Here is a 21,656-nt window from a genome sequence, read left to right on the forward strand (position 1 = left end):
CTCCCCTGTACACACAAATACACAAAAACTAACAAAAATACGTCGTGTGTGTCTGATTTGGGTTGTATTTAAATCATTTCATAAATGACTTTTTCCCATAACTTCAGTTTCAAAGTTTTAAAGCACAGTCAATTAATGATTTGGCAACAGCTAAGAAATCACAAGTTCCCTTCTTTTCATGTAAACTTCTGTAAAACACACGCTACGTTCTGCTGATGGTAAATAGAGCCATTTCAGGAAGTTAGCCAGTTTCTCTTCTCGGCCACCTCCTGCATAGAGGGTACCATTCTGCGCTGCTGCAAGTTACGGAATGAAAAATTAGAACAACAGAAACATGGTAAGCCACTTCTATTTCTTTAGCAAAGCTTTCCAACAGAATATGGGGTTTCTGACCCAGAAATCTGGGTTGGTGGCAAATGGTGTGAGCCTAGAAAGTAATAAATGGGCAAATAAGGATAAAAATTAAAGATCGAAACAACTGTAAATGCAGGTAAAGCGGCTTGCTATGATCTTTAATTTGTGCACACGTTAGTATAAAGGAATTAGAGAGTAAATTTTGAAAATCAAATGCAGTGATGATCTTACTAATTTGGACAGGAAAATAAGAAAATTTCAAGTTAGAAATTGAACTGGAAATATTACTTACTGGCCCTACCAGAGACAATATCCTCTTCCAGAACAACAGGGTTGGAAGAGAAGGTGAGGGAAATATTCTTCCTTTGCTATTTCTGTAGAAAAGGACAAACTCTCTTCCTTCACATACATAGGTCAATTGCTAGATCCTAGTGAAGCCTGAGCTTAACCTACTGTTGGAGGCTTAAAGTTCGACATTAATTGCTACTTTTCTTGGTCAGAGTTTTAAATAATTAGGTTGGTACAAAAAACTGTGATTACTTTTCCACCAACCTAATAACATGCTACAATTTCTGTAATTATTATTTTACACTGTCAAGACATAGCAGGTGGTCCGTTTTTGTTATTGTCAAGAACTGTCAGACTAAAAATGAACTTTACACTTCTTTTTAAATGATACATTTTCTAGAAAATTCAATGAGGTTTAAGAGCAATTGAAAAGTCTGATTTCAAGAGAGTCTCATCCAAAATGTACTATATATTTTTCCCCAAAGTCCTTGGAGTTAATTTTGACAACAATTTAAAGTACACTTAAGTCTTTTGAAGTTAATGGGTCTGCCACCCAGGTTGGAGTGCAGTGGCGTGATCTCAGCTCACTGCAACCTCCGCCTCCCGGGTTCAAGCGATTCTCCTGCCTCAACCTCCCAAGTAGCTGGGACTACAGGTGTGTGCCACCACGCCTGGCTAATTTTTGTATTTTTAGTAGAGACGGGGTTTCTCCATGTTGGCCAGGCTGGTCTCGAACTCCTGACCTCAGGTGATCCGCCTGTCTCAGCCTCCCAAAGTGCTGGGATTACAGGCATGAGCCACCGCGCCCGGCCTGAAGTTAATTTTTATACCCACCTAATGTTCATTATGGATCTTGAAGGTAAATTAATTCTGCACTAAAATTTTACAATGCTTTACAAAATGACTGTAGGTGGCCCATATGGAATTCGGTCAACTGGGCCAATGACACATATGGGATTGCAGTTGAAATTATCCAATTCCTACTTGATATTTGTAAGCTGCTGTGATAGCCAGTATAATTGTACTGTAAGAATGTGGTAAATAGCCGGGGCCCGGTGGCTCACGCCTATAATCCCAGCACTTTGGGAAGCCGACGTGGGCGGATCACTTGAGGTCAGTAGGTAGAGACCAGCCCGGTCAACACGGCAAAACCTCGTCTCTACTAAAAATACAAAAATTAGCCAGGTGTGGTGGTACGCACCTGTAGTCCCAGCTACTCAGGAGGCTGAGGCAGGAGAATCGCTTGAGCCCATGAGGTGGATGTTGCAGTGAGCAAAGATCGCACCATTGTACTCCAGCCTGGGCAACGGAGTAAGACTCTGTTTCAAAACAACAACAACAACAACAACAACAGATTGGTAAATAGAGTAATAATAAAATCAAATTAAACTTGCAAAAAATGGCCACTTTGCTCCCACTGGTGGCCAATGGAGGTCAAGGACCTGGCTGACCTCCTGCCTAAAGGCAGAGGTTGTTAGCCTTCGCAATGGACTCAAATCAGAGGGGGAGCTTTCAAAACTCCTGCTGCCCAGACTGAACCCCAGATCAATGAAACCAAAATCTCTGGATACAGGGCTTGGCATTTGTAGCTTTTAGAGTTCCTAAGTATCTCTACTGTGCAGCCAAAGTTAAGAATCAGTGCCTTAGAACATCAACAGTTTTTTGGTCCTTTTGTTAAAAAGCACAGTCCGTTTTTTTAGGTGGCTAGAAATGCTCCAGGAAGAGCTGAAATGTATTTACCAGCCACCTTGGTTTGATTTTAGAAAGCAAAATAGAAGTTCTAAGTATGCTTTCTCTGAAAAGCTGAGACTGCAGATAAGAGTGAGGGCAGTTGATGGAGTTCATTCTCCTCTTTCAATCACTGCTTCTCATCCTTTCATTATAATAATCTAAGAATCTCAGAGATTATGAAAGAGAAAGCAGTCTTATGGAAGACCCCAGACTCACAGAATATTAGGGTGTGTTTCACAGGGAAGGATGTCATTACCCACAGTTAGTCTTTGAAACGCAGTTGGACATTATTTGTAAGTGCATCATAGTGTCGCCTCCAGGTTCCATTGAGGGGAACGTCATTCCAATGCAACATCTCTGAGTTCATCTGGGTTATTAAATGGGGTTGAGGGATTTGTTATTTTTAAATTAGTAGCCCCAATTTAGGACTACTCAAGACCATAGGACAAGCCTGTCCAACCCTCGGCCTGCGGGCTGCATATGGCCGAGGACAGCTTTGAATGCAGCCCAAGACAAATTCATAAACTTTCTGAAAATATTATGCATTTGTTTTTTAGCCCATCAGCTACTGTTAGTGTTAGTGTATTTTATGTGTGGCCCAAGACAATTCTTCTTCTTCCAGTGTGGCCCAGAGAAGCTGAAAGATTGGACACCCCTGCTATAAGACACAGTAATATAAATACATAACCTGTGGTTCTGGATTGGCATTAGCAGATACAGGCTGTGTTGATTTTGCAGAAAGTTACAAAGAGCTGCTAGTTGGTGTGTATGTCTAAAATCAGTAGATTTCCTGTGGTTCTAAGGAATGACAAAGAATCTGGAAGTTCTCTGTGGTAGCCTGCTCAGTGCAGAAAGGGAACGTGGAAAATCCGCCACCAGCATTTGAGTCTTGGAGGTTCCACATAGGGCTATCAGGTCTCTGCTGATCACTGAAACCAGATCATGGCCAACTAGCCCCTTGGCTTCAGCCCTCCCAATTCATTAACTACTCAGGTAAATCTAGGGTCACTTTCAACTCTACCACCTACCATCTGAGTGACCTTGAAAACATTCATCTCTCTGAGCCTCAGGTCCCATGTCTGTAAAGCAGGGGCCTCATGGACTTCTTTGGGTTTTTTTGTTTTTGTTTTTGTTTCTGAGGATTAAACAAATGCTCCCTACCCTATTTCCCAGCATCCAGTAACACAGTTTTTCATATTTTTGTGTATGTTAAGTCAGGACCCATCTCTTTAATGATAAGTGCACTTAATGTGGTCATGTTTTCTTTTGTCTTCCAAAGCTGTTAGTGAATCCATTGAATTTGGGATGGGTAAAATAAAGTATCTATTATTAATTGTAAATTTCATCTAAAGTGACAAATCCTACCTGCATAACCATTTCTTAATTTCCTTTCATCATGTATCAGTGGTCAACATTGTTAACTGCGAATGAATCAGAATCCATCAAAAATTAGAACTATTTCCAGTCTGGCAAAAATTCAGCTCTGGTTGAATCCAAACATTGTGCTGAAGCAGCTAAGTAATTCAACTGAGGAGATTAATTACATGTTATAATCAATAGGTTCTCTTGACACTTCAGTGTTAGGGAACATCAGCAAGACCCATCCCAGGAGACCTTGAAGGAAGCCTTTGAAAGGGAGAATGAAGGAGTCATCTTTGCAAAATAGCTCCTGCAGCCTGGGAAAGGAGACTAAAAAGGTAAAAAGCTGTTAATTCCAGGAAGACAGCTTTACGCCCCTCCCAGACCACCTGCACTGCACACTACGTGGAATTTATTTTAGTCTCACATGGCAGCGTCCCTACCTTTGTGCCCACACATCTGGTCTCCGCCCTGGCTGCAGCCCTCCCCTTCAGGCGAATTCTGGGTGTGTCCTATCTGCTCATTGCAACTCCCAGCGAATGAGTTTTCAGCGAAGGCAGACTTTCTGACCTGTTCTTCAAACTGCACTGGTCTTTTAAAAACGTGTTTGGTGGCCATCAGCATCCAATTTCAGAAGAAAGATTTGGGTGAGGACTGAGAGAGGCTGTTGTTGTTGTGCTGTCTGTTTCCTTCAGAATCTGCAGAAGAAAATTGGCAGGTCATGTACTGTGGACCTAACCAAAGGACAAATGATGTATGGAAAATAGAAAAACTGTTGTGAAATTGCTTCCTCATTAGCAATAACTGTATTTGGCAGGGAGAGGAGAAGTTGGGCACATTTTTTTTTCTTTTTTTTTTCATGATTCATACGTTTTCTTTAAAGAAGTGGGTTTTGCTTTTCACTGGGTGCTCTAAGACAACCCCAGTGAAAGATCTGGACCACGAAGACCCAGTCATCCTCATAAGGGTGTTCATTGCAGCAAGCTCAAGGGCATGCCAGGCAAAGGCCTTTTTTCTGGCAGCTTGAACTTGTCTCAGCAGAGGGTTTCACAGAACAACTGTCATTTACCTGTTCTCTGCTCTTACTTGATTCGTTTCCCAGGACTGCTGAAACAAAGTACCACAAACTTGGTGGATCAAAACAGCAGAAATATATCCTCTCACAGTTCTGGAAACCACAAGTCAGAAACCAATGTGTTGTTGGCAGGGTTGGTTCCTTCTTAAGGGGCTAGAGGGAAAATCTGTTTCATGCTCCTCTCCCAGCTTCTGGTGGTAGCTAGCAATTCTTGATGCTCTCTGGCTTGCCGCTGCATCTCTCTAGCCTTCACCTCTCCTCATGTGGGTGGCCTTCTTTCCTGTGTGTCTATTTCCAAATTCCCCTTTTCTTATAAGGGGACCAGTTATTGGATCAGGGCCCACCTTAATTCAGTAGATCCCATTTTAACTTGATGACATCAGCAAAGTCCAAATAAGGTTGTATTCACAGGTACCAGGGGTTAGAACTTCAAGTTATCTATTAGGGGACACAATTCAACCTAAAAACTCCCCTTTTTTGATTCTCTATTCTGCCACTTCTACTCAATCCAGGTTCTTCACTTCATCAGCTCCCAATCTAATACTTATCTTATTTCTAGTAAGCATCTCTTCCTTATCTTAACTGGTCCCTGGGGCCTGGCCCGAGCCCCATTATACCATCAGCTGTTGACATCAAGGGTGGACTTCTCTTTCGGCACAGAAGGCACAGGGCTGTAGGCTTCAGCCTTCTCTGCTTTGCTCTGCCCCATCTACTGTTCATCCACCTGCTTTCCATTTTGCTAAACTTTGTAGAAAATTCTTGTCAGCTGTTGTCTCCTCCTACACTTTCTTTGATCTTAGAGGATTCTATTCTTTTACTATGGCTTTAATCGGAGCACCCGACTGTTAGGTTCAACCAACAGAAGTTGGTTGTGCTCTCTCACTCTTTCTTTCTCTCTCTCTCTCTTTCTCTCTATTTGCATAGTGGTATTTTTTTTTTCCTCTATTTTATTGGCAGAATTGCCATTTCTCTAAGTTATTGTAGAGTTGCTGTTTCTCTATTTTATTTGCATATTTCTCTTCTGCCAGGCTGGATTGTTTCTATTGATTGGTTCTGCTGTAATGAGGGTGACTTCTCATTAGTATCCTTCTCACTTCATCTGGGACCAGATGCCCTTTGATATCCTTTTGGAGCCACAACTTTTGGTAGTCAGAGGCATGGGTGTGGCTCAAAGGAAGAACTTGGCTCAGAAGGTGCAGCTCTTGCTGGGCCTTTGGTCTCTGCTCTGTCTTCTGAGATCAGTGGCTGCTGGGACCTGGGGTTCCCCCATGCCGGGCATGGTCACACAGCACTCCTATGGACTTGAGCAGAGCACCCTGCAAAGTGAGCATTAGCAATCCATTCCAACTCTGTGCAGTCCTGCACGGAATATAGAAGGTGGAGCAATGACAGTCTCCCCAACTTCTCTGCAAGCAACCTGCTCACCATTTCTTGCCCTTCCCATTTATGTACTTTTCAAAATCAGGTTATTTGGAATTTGTCGACTCATGTTTCTTACTTCAGTACTTTTTTGGGAGGGCAGCATTAGAAACCTCAAACTCTTAACTAAAAAATGTCTTTGGGAATGTTCTGGCCATTTTCATGGCCCACAATTTGCTTTAAGCTGCTTTAGACTCTCCCAGAGGCTATTTTCATCCCGAAAGAACAGAGCAGAGCTCAAAAGACTCCAGTTTTGGTCTCTAGCAGCCCCTAGAGGATTTCCCCCTCAATTCCTCTCTGCCTTGTATGAAATAGAATTGGATTTGAAATCGGATGTTGAGGCCTTACCTCCAGGCTAGTGAGGCCACACAAGATGGATCCTCTGGACCCGCCCAAGTGTCCACCTAAACATGAGTTACCAACTAACAATGTTTTGTTTAGCATGCAAAGGGAGTGGTCTGGAATCTGGCCTTGCCCTGACATATTCTCCTTGGGCCTTTTTAAAAAAATAATTTGTGTTAATCTGTAGTTAAAAATTATAATAAGGACCTGACAAACACTACCTCAGTCAGATGATCAAGGTACACATAAATAGTGAAAGTCATGTTGATAGCATGCACCCTTCATATGATATGGCTAGAATGGCCCTGCACTTCTGTGATCTTCCTCCCCTAGACTCATCAGCTCGATCTAATCATAACAAAAGCATCAGATAAGTCCCCGCCCAGGGACATTCTACATAACCATTTCCCTTCCCAGTTATATTTTTCTCCACAATACTTTCCACCATCTAACATTCTATCTTTCAAAATGGGCAAGTATTTTAGCCTGGTTTGTTCATTGTTTTATCTGCAACTCAAATACAGTTCCTGAAATAAAATATCTGCCTAATAAATATTTAATGAATGAATGAATATAGCATTGCCTTATCCGTTTAATTGCCACATGGTATTTCATTGTGTGAACATAATATCGTTTATTTACCCAGACTACTACTCATAGGCATTTAGATTATTTCCGGTCTTTTGCTATTGCTAACAGCCTTTGCAATGAACATCCTTGTATACAGACATTTGCATATATGAGGGTGTGTCTTTAGGATCTACTTCTAGAATTGAAATTGCCAACTCCAAGTATATGTTTCCAATTGTGATAGATATTACACATTACCCTCCATCTTAGAGGTGGTGTTAATTTAGATTCCTGCCAGCAAAATTTAAGAGTGTTTGTTTCCCCATATCCTCAACTGCCTAACAGAATCAGTGAAAAATGGTATGACAGTGTAATTTTTGAGTGAGGTTGAGTATCTTTTCCTATGCTTTAAGAGCAATTTATGTTTCCTTTTTATGTGAACTGTCTGTTAATATATTTTTTCAATTTTTCTATTGGGTTATTTGTCTTTTCATTAATGCATATACCTGTTACATATTTATACCAAGTATGTATTAAATACTAACATATTGATGAAACAGAGCAAAAAGCCTAGAAATAGATCCAAATAACAGAAGAGTTAGTATGTGATACAGGAAGCCTATAAAATCAGTGAGCAAAAGACCATCCAATTAATAACGTTAGGGTAAATGGGTCTCCATTTAGAAAAAAATAATGTGGGTCTACACCTCACATTTTATACCTAAACAATTCCAGTGGGATAAGAAAATGAAATCATAAAAAATTACTAGGAAAAAGATGAGAAAATTGTTCATAAAACTGAAGTGTGGAAGATCCTTTATGCCTTACACTGCCCTGAGTGATCTCATTCATACCCATGGCTTCAATTGTCATGAATCCCAAATTCATTCCTCTGTCAGAACTCTCTTCTGAGCTTCAGACCCACATACTCAGCTGCCTACTGGACACCTCTACTTGAATATCACAAACTCAACTCAAAAGCAAACCTGTCAAATTTAATTACTAGTAGCCCTACCCCAAACAATCTTCCTGCTCAGTGAATGACACCCATCCCTCCAGGTGCACAGACCAGGAACCTAGAAGTCACTCTGATTGCATCCCTCTCCCTCACAACCTCTACCTCCCTTTATTCATCCATTGCTATGTCTCTCAAATGTACCTCCCAAATATCTCTTGAACGCGTTCTTTTCTATCTCTATTGCCACCACCCTAGTTCAAACTCCCATCATCTCATGACTGAAGTTCTGTGCCCTCTTGCCAGTGAACACTGTAGAATCAATCTAAACATGGTGCCACCCTGCTTAAAAACCTTCAAAGGCTCACATCACTTCTCAGATGAAGAGATTGGGGAGACGTTGGTAATAGGACACAAAATTTCAGTTAGGCAGGAGGAAAAAGTTCTATTGAAGAACTCTATTGTACAATATGGTGACTATAGTTAATAACAACATATTATACACTTGAAAATCACTAAGAGAGTCCATTTTAAGTGTTCTCATGACCAAAAAATGATAAGTATATGAGGTAATGCATATGTGAATTAGCTTGACTGAGGCATTCTACATGTATACATATTTCGAAACATCATGTTGTACATCATAAATGCATACACTTTTTAGTTGTCAATTTAATTAATATTTTTTAAACCTACTCTGGCCTTTTTTTCCTTTTTTGAGACGGGTGGTCTCTGTCCCCCATGCTAGAGTGCAGTGCGCAATCATGGCTCACTGCAGCCTCCACCTCCCAGTCTCAGGCGATTCTCCAGTCTCAGCCTCCCAAGTAGCTGGGACCACAAGCATGAGCCACCATGCCCCGCTATTTGTTTTTGTATTTTTTGTAGAGATGGGATCTCGCCACATGGCCCAGTCTGGTGTCCAACTCCTGAGCTCCAGTGATCCACCTGCCTCAGCTTCCCAAACTGCTGGGATTACAGGCGTGAGCCACTGTGCCTGGTCCACTCTGGTCTTTACTCAAGTCCCTGGCTTTCTCTCAGTCTCTTAAACTTATGTGCTTAGTAAGATGAGGACTGAAAAATGTCCACAGAACATAGTGACATGGAGATACTGAGAACCTCAACGACATCTCCATTAGCCACTTCCTCTGTGCCATTCCAGTCCTCTGGGCCCCACTGTGGCAAGCAGTCCTACCATGGCAAACATGAAAGCTGATGTGCCTTGTCTTAGACCCACACCATATCTCTCTGAATTCCTGTCCCAGGGCTTCTCTGGAGGTACAGCCTGGGAAACTCACGGGAATAGACACAGGGCCTTTGCACATGCTGCTCCCTTTTCCTGAAAAATTCCTTTGACATCTTGGTTGTGCCTTACACATGCCTACTCAACCTTAGGATTGCAGTTCAGGTTTCACTCCTTTTTTTTTTTTCTTTTTGAGACGGAGTTTCACTCTTGTTGCCCAGGCTGGAGTGCAATGGTGTGATCCTGGCTCACCACAACCTCTGCCTCCTGGGTTCAAGTGATTCTCCTGCCTCAACCTCCTGAGTAGCTGGGATTATAGTCATGCACCACCACGCCCAGCTAATTTTGTATTTTTAGTAGAGACAGTGTTTCTCTATGTTGGCCAGGCTGGTCTCGAACTCCCGACCTCAGGTGATCGGCCCGCCTCGGCCTAGGTTCCACTTCTTTATGGAAATCTTCCCCAGTTGCCTTGACTAGGCCAAAGTCCCCTCTTCTTAGGCTCTTACAGTGTCATGCACTTCTTTTTTATCACAGTGTAAACCTTGTAATGTTGTGTTTAAGTCATATCTGTTGTACCCATGAGACTGGGAGCCAATTCATATATTGTGAGTGTAATCGAACAGACTTCCCAGGCCACCCACTAGCTAATCAAGGCAGGGATGAGTCCGGAAAGTGACTTTGAAATCTAGCAATGTTGGAACTTGGAAATCACACAGGCTGAGATCTGCTCAGGTGCCTGAACAAATATAGCATTGCCTGTGGCGTCTCCCTCAAAGTGCCTTGCATGTCTGAGCCCCGTTGCCCCTTCCTTTGGTGTGCCTGTGTCTCCCGGTACAGATGTGAAGCCTGGAGACCTGTGGCTGCCTCTGCAGGAGCTCCATGTTTTCAAGCCATAAATCATCTTAGAATTCATAGCATCTAGATATATTAGTTTTCTATTACTGCAGAACAAATCGCTCCCAAATGTAGAGGCTTCAAAGAATGCCCATTGATTGGCCTTAATTTCTGTAAGTTAGAATCTGGGCAGGTTTGCCTGAGTTCTCCACTCCAAGTCTCATAAAGCCAAGCTGGGCTGTCATCTGGAGGCTCTGAGTAAAAATTTGTTTCCAGGTTCATCCAGATTGTCAGGTGATTTCAGTTCCTTGCAGTTGTTGTTCGACTCACTACCCCACCACCACCCCGAAAACCTCATTTCCTTGCTAGCTGCCTGCAGAGAGCCACTCTCAGCTTCCACAGGCTGCTTGCATTCCTTGTTGTGGGGCCGCTACCTCCTCAAGCCAGAAATAGGGCATCCAGTTCTTCTCATGCATCCTACCCCTCTGACTTTTCCTTCTGCCGATAACCAGAAAAAACGTTCCGCCTTCAAACGCTCGTATGATTAGACTAAGCCCATCCAGATAAATTCCCATATGCCATATACTATAATGTCATCACAGCAGTAATACCCGGGACAAAATTCATGGGGGTCATCTTAAAATTCTGCCTATCACACCAGGTATAGTAGAGGCTTGTTTTAGTGCAAGTTAAACATTAAGCAGCAACATCACGATAGTGCTGCATTTGAAAATAACTACTAGCAACTGAACATGTCTGGGAGTTCTGCTCCACTTTAATTTCCATCTCAAAAGGAGCTGGGTTTTCCTTGGCTGTTACAAATGGGCAATAATGATTGAGCTTAAGAATAATCAATGTCCACATAAAAATCTTTTATAACATAGTGAGAGTGTGACATATAAAGGTGTTAGTTCACCGGCCCTAAATTTTAGGAGAATTTTTAAAAAGGCACTTATCTGGTTTAATCCATAATAAAGACATGAGTTGGGCTTTAGTGAAAAATCTAGGCTGGTTTCTGTGTTCAGTGAAAGAAGATTTGAGAGTTCTCTTAATTACAACCCTTGATCAAACCTACCACATTAATCTGTTTATTGCATTGTATGGTTACCAAAAGTGATATATTCAGCCCTCTATTTATTAAGAAACAGTTACAGAAAGTGAGGCACTCTCCTGTGTTACTGAGGGTGCATAAAAATATAAAGCACCATGTGTCTTCCCTAGAGAAGTTTCAAAACTAGCAAGCAAATAGCTATTAATGCTAATGTTTGTGTGATAGGGAACATATGAGTAGTAATTATTCCACAAACAATTTTTTGAGTGCTGTTTACATTTGAGGCACAGTTCAGGCACGAGGATTTCAAAAGGAGATTGTGTAGCATGATGGCTTGTTAAAAATATGATTTTGGAATCAGATTTGCTCAAGTCCCAGTGCTACAGCATACCATCCTTCAAAAAGGTACTTAAGTCTCTGAGTTTGTTTTCTCATCTGCAAAATATAAATAATAAGAGGACCTACTGCGTCATGTTCTTGTGAGCATTAATGTGGGTGATGAAATGTTTATGAAGCACTTAGCACAATACCTGACATTTTGTTTGTTATTATTATCAACATAAAGTGCCCACTTTCCAGTCATGCAAGAAGAAAACATAATATATGTCACCATAGAAGTATAGAACAATTGTGGGAAATACCAGTAAGAGAGATATAGCTGTATAAATAAGGTAAAGATGACTGCCTAGAAGATCTAGGATGATACCATATTAGAAGTTGCATCTGAACTCTCCTTGGGGACTGGCCAAAGTTTCATCAAGTGTCATGTCAGTAGGTTGGTGCTATAAATATATAGCTTGCAAAGCTATAGACTTACTATAAACCATAGCTGTGGTCCAGCTTAGACTCATTATGGTGGTGGAGTATCTTGATTAATGGCCTCTGCAGAAGCTTCCCAGGTCTTCTCATCATCATAATCTCAGATAGCTTCATCTTCAACTTCCTTTTTTTTGTTGTTTTTGAGACAGGGTCTCACTCTGTCATCCAGGATGGAGTGCAGTGGCACAATCATGGCTCACTGCAGCCTCGACCTCAGGAGCTCAAGCCATCCTCCCACTTCAGCCTCCCGAGTAGTTGGGACTACAGGCATGCACCACTACGCCCGGCTAATTTTTTCATTTTTTTGTAGAGTCAGGGTCTCCCTATGCTGCCCAGTCTGGTCTCAAACTCCTGGGCTCAAACCATCTTTCCACCTCGGCCTCCCAAAATGTTGGGATTACAGGTGTGAGCCACCACACACAGCCCATCTTCAACTTCTTTTAGCACCATGAAGCTGAACATAGTAAAAAAGTAAAATCATTCTGGACCTAATCTGATGCAATTTATTTAATTGTTAAGTGAATGCACACATCAAAATTCATACAAGTATGGGGCAGCGCTGCTAATTTATTTACAAAACACCTGGCAAATACTGCTACTCTAATACTGTGCTTCCACTTTTGATTTTCCTTAGGAAAACATGTTCCTTCAGTCGTCAATGCTGACCTGCATTTTCCTGCTAATATCTGGTTCCTGTGAGTTATGCGCCGAAGAAAATTTTTCTAGAAGCTATCCTTGTGATGAGAAAAAGCAAAATGACTCAGTTATTGCAGAGTGCAGCAATCGTCGACTACAGGAAGTTCCCCAAACGGTGGGCAAATATGTGACAGAACTAGACCTGTCTGATAATTTCATCACACACATAACGAATGAATCATTTCAAGGGCTGCAAAATCTCACTAAAATAAATCTAAACCACAACCCCAATGTACAGCACCAGAACGGAAATCCCGGTATACAATCAAATGGCTTGAATATCACAGACGGGGCATTCCTCAACCTAAAAAACCTAAGGGAGTTACTGCTTGAAGACAACCAGTTACCCCAAATACCCTCTGGTTTGCCAGAGTCTTTGACAGAACTTAGTCTAATTCAAAACAATATATACAACATAACTAAAGAGGGCATTTCAAGACTTATAAACTTGAAAAATCTCTATTTGGCCTGGAACTGCTATTTTAACAAAGTTTGCGAGAAAACTAACATAGAAGATGGAGTATTTGAAACGCTGACAAATTTGGAGTTGCTATCACTATCTTTCAATTCTCTTTCACACGTGCCACCCAAACTGCCAAGCTCCCTACGCAAACTTTTTCTGAGCAACACCCAGATCAAATACATTAGTGAAGAAGATTTCAAGGGATTGATAAATTTAACATTACTAGATTTAAGCGGGAACTGTCCGAGGTGCTTCAATGCCCCATTTCCATGCGTGCCTTGTGATGGTGGTGCTTCAATTAATATAGATCGTTTTGCTTTTCAAAACTTGACCCAACTTCGATACCTAAACCTCTCTAGCACTTCCCTCAGGAAGATTAATGCTGCCTGGTTTAAAAATATGCCTCATCTGAAGGTGCTGGATCTTGAATTCAACTATTTAGTGGGAGAAATAGCCTCTGGGGCATTTTTAACGATGCTGCCCCGCTTAGAAATACTTGACTTGTCTTTTAACTATATAAAGGGGAGTTATCCACAGCATATTAATATTTCCAGAAACTTCTCTAAACTTTTGTCTCTACGGGCATTGCATTTAAGAGGTTATGTGTTCCAGGAACTCAGAGAAGATGATTTCCAGCCCCTGATGCAGCTTCCAAACTTATCGACTATCAACTTGGGTATTAATTTTATTAAGCAAATCGATTTCAAACTTTTCCAAAATTTCTCCAATCTGGAAATTATTTACTTGTCAGAAAACAGAATATCACCGTTGGTAAAAGATACCCGGCAGAGTTATGCAAATAGTTCCTCTTTTCAACGTCATATCCGGAAACGACGCTCAACAGATTTTGAGTTTGACCCACATTCGAACTTTTATCATTTCACCCGTCCTTTAATAAAGCCACAATGTGCTGCTTATGGAAAAGCCTTAGATTTAAGCCTCAACAGTATTTTCTTCATTGGGCCAAACCAATTTGAAAATCTTCCTGACATTGCCTGTTTAAATCTGTCTGCAAATAGCAATGCTCAAGTGTTAAGTGGAACTGAATTTTCAGCCATTCCTCATGTCAAATATTTGGATTTGACAAACAATAGACTAGACTTTGATAATGCTAGTGCTCTTACTGAATTGTCCGACTTGGAAGTTCTAGATCTCAGCTATAATTCACACTATTTCAGAATAGCAGGCGTAACACATCATCTAGAATTTATTCAAAATTTCACAAATCTAAAAGTTTTAAACTTGAGCCACAACAACATTTATACTTTAACAGATAAGTATAACCTGGAAAGCAAGTCCCTGGTAGAATTAGTTTTCAGTGGCAATCGCCTTGACATTTTGTGGAATGATGATGACAACAGGTATATCTCCATTTTCAAAGGTCTCAAGAATCTGACACGTCTGGATTTATCCCTTAATAGGCTGAAGCACATCCCAAATGAAGCATTCCTTAATTTGCCAGCGAGTCTCACTGAACTACATATAAATGATAATATGTTAAAGTTTTTTAACTGGACATTACTCCAGCAGTTTCCTCGTCTCGAGTTGCTTGACTTACGTGGAAACAAACTACTCTTTTTAACTGATAGCCTATCTGACTTTACATCTTCCCTTCGGACACTGCTGCTGAGTCATAACAGGATTTCCCACCTACCCTCTGGCTTTCTTTCTGAAGTCAGTAGTCTGAAGCACCTCGATTTAAGTTCCAATCTGCTAAAAACAATCAACAAATCCGCACTTGAAACTAAGACCACCACCAAATTATCTATGTTGGAACTACACGGAAACCCCTTTGAATGCACCTGTGACATTGGAGATTTCCGAAGATGGATGGATGAACATCTGAATGTCAAAATTCCCAGACTGGTAGATGTCATTTGTGCCAGTCCTGGGGATCAAAGAGGGAAGAGTATTGTGAGTCTGGAGCTAACAACTTGTGTTTCAGATGTCACTGCAGTGATATTATTTTTCTTCACGTTCTTTATCACCACCATGGTTATGTTGGCTGCCCTGGCTCACCATTTGTTTTACTGGGATGTTTGGTTTATATATAATGTGTGTTTAGCTAAGGTAAAAGGCTACAGGTCTCTTTCCACATCCCAAACTTTCTATGATGCTTACATTTCTTATGACACCAAAGATGCCTCTGTTACTGACTGGGTGATAAATGAGCTGCGCTACCACCTTGAAGAGAGCCGAGACAAAAACGTTCTCCTTTGTCTAGAGGAGAGGGATTGGGACCCGGGATTGGCCATCATCGACAACCTCATGCAGAGCATCAACCAAAGCAAGAAAACAGTATTTGTTTTAACCAAAAAATATGCAAAAAGCTGGAACTTTAAAACAGCTTTTTACTTGGCTTTGCAGAGGCTAATGGATGAGAACATGGATGTGATTATATTTATCCTGCTGGAGCCAGTGTTACAGCATTCTCAGTATTTGAGGCTACGGCAGCGGATCTGTAAGAGCTCCATCCTCCAGTGGCCTGACAACCCGAAGGCAGAAGGCTTGTTTTGGCAAACTCTGAGAAATGTGGTCTTGACTGAAAATGATTCACGGTATAACAATATGTATGTCGATTCCATTAAGCAATACTAACTGACGTTAAGTCATGATTTCGCGCCATAATAAAGATGCAAAGGAATGACATTTCTGTATTAGTTATCTATTGCTATGTAACAAATTATCCCAAAACTTAGTGGTTTAAAACAACACATTTGCTGGCCCACAGTTTTTGAGGGTCAGGAGTCCAGGCCCAGCATAACTGGGTCCTCTGCTCAGGGTGTCTCAGAGGCTGCAATGTAGGTGTTCACCAGAGACATAGGCATCACTGGGGTCACACTCATGTGGTTGTTTTCTGGATTCAATTCCTCCTGGGCTATTGGCCAAAGGCTATACTCATGTAAGCCATGCGAGCCTCTCCCACAAGGCAGCTTGCTTCATCAGAGCTAGCAAAAAAGAGAGGTTGCTAGCAAGATGAAGTCACAATCTTTTGTAATCGAATCAAAAAAGTGATATCTCATCACTTTGGCCATATTCTATTTGTTAGAAGTAAACCACAGGTCCCACCAGCTCCATGGGAGTGACCACCTCAGTCCAGGGAAAACAGCTGAAGACCAAGATGGTGAGCTCTGATTGCTTCAGTTGGTCATCAACTATTTTCCCTTGACTGCTGTCCTGGGATGGCCTGCTATCTTGATGATAGATTGTGAATATCAGGAGGCAGGGATCACTGTGGACCATCTTAGCAGTTGACCTAACACATCTTCTTTTCAATATCTAAGAACTTTTGCCACTGTGACTAATGGTCCTAATATTAAGCTGTTGTTTATATTTATCATATATCTATGGCTACATGGTTATATTATGCTGTGGTTGCGTTCGGTTTTATTTACAGTTGCTTTTACAAATATTTGCTGTAACATTTGACTTCTAAGGTTTAGATGCCATTTAAGAACTGAGATGGATAGCTTTTAAAGCATCTTTTACTTCTTACCATTTTTTAAAAGTATGCAGCTAAATTCGAAGCTTTTGGTCTATATTGTTAATTGCCATTGCTGTAAATCTTAAAATGAATGAATAAAAATGTTTCATTTTACAAGAGGAGTGTATGATAAATATATCATAGAGAAATTGGTCTTTAATATAAAAGAAATTGCCATATACACTGAATTTTTTCAGAACTCTTTTTAAAAAACTATTTGGTAGAAATCAAAGGGGAAGCAGTTTTCATGACACTTTTACTTTAAGATACTTATTAATAGATAAATTCTATCTTGATTCCCTACTCAGAAGACATAAAGTCAGAATGCCTGGCTGTTGGTAGCCTTTGTGCAATTCCCCCAAATGAAACAACTTTGGCAACCCTTTCCACTTCTACTGTCCCCTTGGTTCCTCTGCATCAGTCCATAGCATCCTCTATCCAGTATGAATCTTGAGATATCTAATGAAATTTACCTGAGAATAACTAGAAATTATCCAAGCATAAGAAAAGGAAGTTGCTTCAGAATGAAAAGAAGATAAACCTCCAATATACCATCTTTCCTTTTTAGTTAAATCTTACAGCATGAGTTACCTTTTAATATGTGCTTCTAAGAAACTGACCAAAATAATGTGTCATAGTGTTATTTAATACGCACAAAGTGGAAAGCAGTGCAAGTTTGCCAAGGACAATTTAATTTTGTCACATTGCATGCTGTTTTGTGACCATGAAGAGTTTATACAAAGATGTTTATGCTTGTGCTTGTTGAGGTATAGGGACAAATATCTAAAAGCAAGATCAGATGGGTGTGGTATCTCACACCTATAATCCTTGGATTAAAATCTACCTCAATTGTAGGACTACCAGTTGAACCACATGCTTCCCACTGCCCTCAGCAAAGGGCACCTTAGTTAGAGGAAAGGTAGAGCCTTTCTATGGAGGAGGAATTTGTGAGGTTTGAGTTTTATCAGCTACCTGGGAGTCAGACCCTGATAGATTCTCCTTCACACTCCCTGGACCTTTTCCTGCCAAGTGGAGGCTCTCACTCAGAGGAAATCTCCATTCTTTTGATGCAGGTCATTCATACTCAGATATTCTGCACTGTTCAAGCAATAAAAATTGAATGAGCACCTATTATGTACACCAGTTGGCACTGTGTCAAAATGTACTTGTGCAGAGACCTTGGATCATTGGTGACAGGTCTTCTTCTCCTCTGCATTTTTCTCAAGACCAGGCCTCAGTGTAGCATGTTTCCATGGAGTGAAAGAGGGGAAGGAAGAGTGGGCTTTGGAAAGTGGCAGCTGTGTCATAGCAGTCAGCCTCTGTGTATGTGAAGGACTTTCCAGAGCCCCCCCACTAAAGCCTCCATGCTCCTCCTGGGACTGCCACAGTTCTTGAAACTATCCATACAGTCTTCATGAGTTATTTTTAATTTTTTTTTCTTCTTTTCTCTTTCCTCCTTTTCCCCTTTTCCCCACTCCCTAGTTAGATCTTTAAAAATGCAATTGTAACCTTTATCTTCCCTTCACCAGACACTCCCTACAGGGCAAGCTTATGTATACGCTTACCTAAAAGCTCCAGAGCCAGAAATCTCTCCCACTCGGGGACTGCCTCAAGAGACAGCAGTCAATTTACAACCTAAAGCATGCCCACAACAAAACTCTCTCCCACCTGGAGGATATCTTGAGGCAATGGTCACTTTACAACCTAGTTCTGCCTGCAATGGCACCAGCTCAACCACCTGGTACATAAGACACAAAAGCAAGTTGCATAGACCTCACCTTCTCACTCCCTTCCCTGCATGCCATTAATGCCAACTCCCCCTTTAAAAGCCCCTGCTTTCTGCCCCAAAAGCAAAGTGATACCCTTAAAGTCAGGAGCCTATACTTCTTCCCCCTAAGCTAATTTTTGGAATAAAAGTCATTTTATTGAGAACCTCCATAAACTGTTGGTGGGAATATAAATTAGTAAACCATGATGGAGAACAGTTTGGAGTTTCCTCAAAGAACTAAAAATCGAATTACCATATGACCCAGCAATCCCACTGCTGGGTATACACCCAAAAGAAAGGAAGTAATTATATTGAAGAGATATCTGCACTCCCATGTTTGCTGCAGCACTGTTTACAATAGCTGAGATTTGCAGCAACCTAAGTGTCTATCAACAGATGAATGGATAAAGAAAATGTGGTACACATACAAAATGGAGTACTAGTCAGCCATAAAAAGAATGAGATCCTGTCATTTGCAACAACATGGATGGAACTGGAGGTCATTATGTTAAGTGAAATAAGCCAGACACAGAAAGACAAATATCAAATGTTCTCACTTATTTGTGGGATCTAAAAATTAAAACAATTCAACTCATGGACATAGAGAGTAGAAGGATGGTTACCAGAGGCTGGGAGGGGAAGTGGAAGCTAGGGGAGGTGGGGATGGTTAATGGGTACAAAAAAATAGAAAGAATGAATTAGATCTACTATTTGATAGCACAACAGAGTGACTATAGTCAATAATAATTTAACTGTACTTTTTAAAAATAACAAAAATCGTGTAATTGGACTGTTTATAACTCAAAGAATAAATGCTTGAGGGGATGGATATCCCATTCTCCATGATGTGATTACCCATTGCATGTATCAAAACATCTCGTGTACCCCCTAAATATATACACCTACTATGTATCCACAAAAACTAAAAATAAAATTTTGTTTAAAAAGTCACTTTCTTTATACCACATCTCACCCTTGTTAATTGGACTCTGCGAGGGGTGAACAACTGGACCTGTGATTCAGTTAAAATTAGATCCTCAGGCACCTTCTGTTGAGAAAGAATAGGTCTCAAATGTTGCAAATCTCTTTTACCTTTCTCAAGGTTCTAGCCTCTCCTATCACCAATTTAGGTAAGAATATAAAATCATCAGGCCTGTGTTACCTCAACTATCTTCCTCTTTGATCCAAAACGTATACTTAGTGGACAAAGGCTTTTTGGACAACTAATATGTGCTAAGTCTTAAGGTGGGTTCAGAAATGGCCAGGATCCATCAACTAATCAATGGATAAATAAAATGTGATCTATCCATACAATGGAATATTATTCAGCCATAAAATGTAATGAAGCACTAATACTATGATGCAACATGGATGAACTTTGAAAACATCATGCTAATAGACCAATAACAGGCTCTGAAATTGTGGCAATAATCAATAGCTTGCTAACCAAAAAGAGTCCAGGACCAGATGGATTCACAGCCGAATTCTACCAGAGGTACAAGGAGGAACTGGTACCATTCCTTCTGAAACTATTCCAATCAATAGAAAAAGAGGGGATCCTCCCTAACTCATTTTATGAGGCCAGAGTCATCCTGATACCAAAGCCGGGCAGAGACACAACCAAGAAAGAGAATTTTAGACCAATATCCTTGATGAACATTGATGCAAAAATCCTCAATAAAATACTGGCAAACCGAATCCAGCAGCACATCAAAAAGCTTATGCACCATGATCAAGTGGGCTTCATCCCTGGGATGCAAGGCTGGTTCAATATATGCAAATCAATAAACGTAATCCAGCATATAAACAGAACCAAAGACAAAAACCACATGATTATCTCAATAGATGCAGAAAAGGCCTTTGACAAAATTCAACAGCCTTTCATGCTAAAAACTCTCAATAAATTAGGTATTGATGGGATGTATCTCAAAATAATAAGAGCTATCTATGACCAACCCACAGCCAGTATCATACTGAATGGGCAAAAACTGGAAGCATTCCCTTTGAAAACTGGCACAAGACAGGGATGCCCTCTCTCACCACTCCTATTCAACATAGTGTTGGAAGTTCTGGCCAAGGCAATTAGGCAGGAGAAGGAAATAAAGGGTATTCAATTAGGAAAAGAGGAAGTCAAATTGTCCCTGTTTGCAGATGACATGATTGTATATCTAGAAAACCCCATCGTCTCAGCCCCAAATCTCCTTAAGCTGATAAGCAACATCAGCAAAGTCTCAGGATACAAAATCAATGTACAAAAATCACAAGCATTCCTATACACCAATAACAGACAAACAGAGAGCCAAATCATGAGTGAACTCCCATTCACAATTGCTTCAAAGAGAATAAAATACCTAGGAATCCAACTTACAAGGGATGTGAAGGACCTCTTCAAGGAGAACTACAAACCACTGCTCAAGGAAATAAAAGAGGACACAAACAAATGGAAGAACATTCCATGCTCATGGGTAGGAAGAATCAATATCGTGAAAATGGCCATACTGCCCAAGGTAATTTATAGATTCAATGCCATCCCCATCAAGCTACCAATGACTTTCTTCAAAGAATTGGAAAAAACTACTTTAAAGTTCATATGGCACCAAAGAAGAGCCCGCATCGCCAAGTCAATCCTAAGCCAAAAGAACAAAGCTGGAGGCATCACGCTACCTGACTTCAAACTATACTACAAGGCTACAGTAAACAAAACAGCATGGTACTGGTACCAAAACAGAGATATAGATCAATGGAACAGAACAGAGCCCTCAGAAATAACGCCGCACATCTACAACTATCTGATCTTTGACAAACCTGAGAAAAACAAGCAATGGGGAAAAGATTCCCTATTTAATAAATGGTGCTGGGAAAACTGGCTAGCCATATGTAGAAAGCTGAAACTGGATCCCTTCCTTACACCTTATACAAAAATTAATTCGAGATGGATTAAAGACTTAAACGTTAGACCTAAAACCATAAAAACCCTAGAAGAAAACCTAGGCATTACCATTCAGGACATAGGCATGGACAAGGACTTCATGTCTAAAACATCAAAAGCAATGGCAACAAAAGCCAAAATTGACAAATGGGATCTAATTAAACTAAAGAGCTTCTGCACAGCAAAAGAAACTACCATCAGAGTGAACAGGCAACCTACAGAATGGGAGAAAATTTTCGCAACCTACTCATCTGACAAAGGGCTAATATTCAGAATCTA

At 40.8% G+C, this 21,656-nt stretch overlaps 1 protein-coding gene and 1 long non-coding RNA gene across 3 annotated transcripts in view; one reads left to right on the plus strand and one right to left on the minus strand.

Moving 5' to 3' along the window:
* Positions 1-21,656, minus strand: part of TLR8-AS1 (TLR8 antisense RNA 1) — a 40,484-nt gene that overhangs the window by 3,556 nt on the left and 15,272 nt on the right. Inside the window, exon 3 of the long non-coding RNA NR_030727.1 lies at positions 1,844-1,961. This is a non-coding gene — a long non-coding RNA (TLR8 antisense RNA 1). The remainder of the gene's footprint in view (positions 1-1,843; positions 1,962-21,656) is intronic.
* On the plus strand, positions 248-16,797 carry TLR8 (toll like receptor 8). Of its 2 annotated transcripts, NM_016610.4 has the most exons (3): positions 248-337; positions 3,934-4,070; positions 12,672-16,797. In NM_016610.4, the coding sequence occupies exons 2-3, from the start codon at positions 4,014-4,016 to the stop codon at positions 15,792-15,794; spliced, it is 3,180 nt and encodes a 1,059-aa protein (NP_057694.2). In that variant the 5' UTR covers positions 248-337; positions 3,934-4,013; the 3' UTR covers positions 15,795-16,797. The 2 variants fall into 2 exon arrangements, with proteins under 2 accessions (NP_057694.2, NP_619542.1); NM_138636.5 differs by lacking the exon at positions 3,934-4,070.

Source organism: Homo sapiens, chromosome X (genome assembly GCF_000001405.40).
Source record: "Homo sapiens chromosome X, GRCh38.p14 Primary Assembly".
Classification (NCBI taxonomy): domain Eukaryota; kingdom Metazoa; phylum Chordata; class Mammalia; order Primates; family Hominidae; genus Homo; species Homo sapiens.

Coding starts and splice junctions, on each gene's coding strand:
- TLR8 (NM_016610.4), top strand. CDS start 4,014: ATGAAGGAGTCATCTTTGCAAAATAGCTCCTGCAGCCTGGGAAAGGAG. Junction 4,071..12,671: donor TGGGAAAGGAGACTAAAAAG/GTAAAAAGCTGT, acceptor GATTTTCCTTAG/GAAAACATGTTCCTTCAGTC.